The following is a 3,301-nucleotide window of genomic DNA, read 5'->3' as shown; positions in this document are numbered from 1 at the left end:
CAGGCTCTTTCTGGAGCCTCAGCCTGACAAAGGGAGCCTCTGCAGCCCAGAGGGGAGCTCTATTAGTCAGCTCAAGCTGCTGTAACAAAATAGCACAGACGCAGTGGCTGACACAACAAAAATTTGTATCCTCACTTTTCTGGAGGCTGAAAGTCTGAAATCAAGGTGTTGGCAGTTTTCTCCTGAGGCCTCTCTCCTTGCTTTGTAAATGGCTGCTGCTATAACTGAATGTTTGTGCCTCTCCCAAAACTCACGTGTTTTGGGGGAGTTTGTTCCTTCTTTTTGTTTTGTTTTGAGACAAAACTTTACTCTGTCACCCAGGCTGGAGGGCAGTGGTGTGATCTTGGCTCACTGCAACCTCTGCCTGCCGGGTTCCAGCGATTTTCCTGCCTTAACGTCCCAAAGAGCTGGAACTACAGGCATGCAACACCACGCCCAGCTAATTTTTTTGTATTTTTAGTAGAGATGGGGTTTCACCATGTTAGCCAGGCTGGTCTTGAACTCCTGACCTTAAGTGATCTGCCTGCCTCGACCTTCCAAAGTGCTGGGATTACAGGCGTCAGCCACTGTGCCCAACCTGTTACTTTGTTTATAGACAGAGGGTCTAACTCTTGCACTGTCACCTGGACTGGAGTACAGTGGTGTGCTCATAGCTCACTGAATTCTGAAATTCCTATGCTCAAACAATCTTGCCACCTCAGTTGGTACTACAGATGCACTCCACCATCCCCAGCTAAGTTTTTTCAATATTTTTTTAGAGATGGGGCCTCGCTATGTTTCCCGGGCTGGTTTCAAACTCCTGGCCTCAAGTGATCCTCCTGCCTCAGCTACCTGAGTTGCTGGGATTACCAGCAGTATCCACCAAGCCCAGCTCTCAGAATTCATGAATTGAAATCTAATCCGCAAGGTGATGCTATCAGGAGAGGAAGCTTTTGAGAGGTGATTTGGTCATGACAGCGGAGCCCTAATGAATGGGATTAGTGTCCTTATAAAAGAGGCCAAGGGAGCTCATCACCCTTCCACATATGAGGACAGCAAGAAAGCTCTGTCTATGAACCAGAAAGCAGGGCCTCACCAGACACTGAGTCTGCCAGCACCTTGATCTTGACTTCCCAGCCTCTAGGACCCCGAGAAATACATTTCTGCTGTTTATAGTATATTTTTAGTAGAGACAGGGTTTCACCATGTTGGCCAGGCTGGTCTTAAACTCCTGACCTCAAGTGATCTGCCTGCCTCAGCCTCCCAAAGTGCTGGGATTACAGGCATAATATTACCCAGTTCATGCTATTTTGTTAAAGCAGCCTGGACAGACTGAGACAGTCCCCGCCTTGCTGTGTCTTCACAGGTTCTTTCCTCTGAGCGTGTGCACCTCTGGCGTCTTTCTGTGTGTCTTCATCTGCTCTTCTTATAAAGACACTAATCAGATTGGAGTAGGGCCTACCTTAAGTACCTTATTTTAACATAATTATCTCTTTAAAGGCCTTTTTCTCCAAATACAGTCCCATTCTGAGAGACTGGGGTTTAGGACTTCAACACAGAAACTTGAGGAGCACAGGCCAGACGTGGTGGCTCACGCCTGTAATCCCAGCACTTTGGGAGGCCGAGGCAGGCAGATCACTTGAGGTCAGGAGTTTGAGGCCAACCTGGCAAACATTGTGAAACACTGTCTGTACTAAAAATACAAAAAATTAGCCGGGTGTGATGGCAGGCGCCTGTAGTCCCAGCTACTTGGGAGACTGAGGAGGGAGAATCACTTGAACCCCGGAGATGGAGGTTGTAGTGAGCCAAGATCGCGCCACTGCACTCCAGCCTGGGCAACAGAGCGAGACTCCGTCTAAAAAAAAAAAAAGAAAACGAAAAGAAATTTGAGGAGCACAGTTCTGCTCATAGCAGAAGTCAAGCCTGGGACTCCCACTGCTTACCACAGTGGGGACAAGGATGAGAGGCAAGGGACAAGGTCCACTCCTGTCTGAGGGAAAAACTCTGCCCATGTGTCACAGCTGACACCAAACAAGAGAAGGAAGCCGGCAGCCTCCAGGGCAGGCCCTGCCGCTCAGAATGTGCAAAAAGGGCCCTTTTCCAAAATTAGCGCACTCTGTGCTACTGCGTTGCTCTAAATAGCGCCTGTTGACGCAGCCGTCAGTTTTTCTCAGACCTCTTTCTGGTGTATTTTAACCCCTTGGTGAGCACCAGCGTGCCCCTGAGGAGAGGGCTCTAGAGTGCTGTCCCCACCCTTGAGCCAAGGAGAGCCCCCTGCCCGCCCGCTGGCTTCCTCTCGGATGTTCTCTGCTTGTCGCATCTGTCTCATTGTCAACACTGGCCATTACTCCCAAGAAGAGAGAGGTGGGGGTCTGGTGCACCAAACAAGACATTCTTTCAAAGAAAGACTGTTGCCATGGGAACCAGTTGTCAAACGCTTTTCTGCGCGGGAGGTGTCAAGAGCGGGGCTGCAGGTTTTGTTAAGTGCTGTTTGCTTTCCTCTTCAATCTGTGACAAGAACAATGAATGATCAGAGATGGGGGCAGGGAGGAAAGCACTCATCTGTTGGAAATTCGCCCTGAGAGTGGGCCCCTGGCTTAAGGGATGGTCTGTGCTCATGGAGCCTTCAGATGCAGTGCTCAGCATTCCCGAGGCTGTTACTATGTGCTCGGCCCTGTGCTAGGTTCTGTGGGTTTGCTAAAGTTCAGCATAATCTGTAGCTTTGGAGAGCTAACAAGCTCTTTGGGGAAGTGGAACCAACACACACAGAATAAGAGAAATCATACAAGCCAACGCGCAATATGGATTTGTGCAGCTACTATCAAGATGCCCTTGTCTACGTGTGCACTCCTGCCTAGGATGGATGTAGAATCTCATGCAGAGATTCTGCATTCTTGAGGGAGTGTTCCCCTTTGCTTGGGACCAAAGCTAGCACAGCAGGCATGGGAAGGCACTGCTTAGACCCTCCTTGAGAGGGTCTGGTCCAGGCTTAATTTCCAAAATAGATAAGGAACTCAAACAACTCAACAGCAATAAAGCAATAACCCCATTAAAAATGGACAGAAGGGCTGGGCACAGTGGCTCACACCTGTAAATTCAGCACTTGGGGAGGCTGAGGCGGGAAGATCGCTTGAGCCCAGCAGTTTAAGACCAACCTAGGCAACATAGCAAGACGCCATCTCAAAAAATTTTTTTTAATTAGCCAGGTGTGGTGGCATGCACCTGCGATCTCAGATACGTGGGAGGCTGAGCTAGGAAGATTGCCTGAGCCTGGGAGGTCAAAGCTGCAGTGAGCTAGGATCACAACACTACACTCTATCCT

The 3,301-nt window shown here is 49.4% G+C and overlaps 1 annotated feature.

The window, feature by feature from the left end:
* Nucleotides 2,103-2,626: an enhancer, noted in NCBI's record as "H3K4me1 hESC enhancer chr8:26346103-26346626 (GRCh37/hg19 assembly coordinates)". NCBI's record gives its function as "activates a minimal SCP1, AML or CMV promoter by ChIP-STARR-seq in naive H9 embryonic stem cells {active_cell/tissue: H9 hESC(naive)}" and the evidence as "EXISTENCE:reporter gene assay evidence [ECO:0000049][PMID:30033119]".

Source organism: Homo sapiens, chromosome 8 (assembly GCF_000001405.40).
Source record: "Homo sapiens chromosome 8, GRCh38.p14 Primary Assembly".
Lineage (NCBI taxonomy): Eukaryota > Metazoa > Chordata > Mammalia > Primates > Hominidae > Homo > Homo sapiens.
This window is presented reverse-complemented; position numbering and strand designations above follow the sequence as displayed.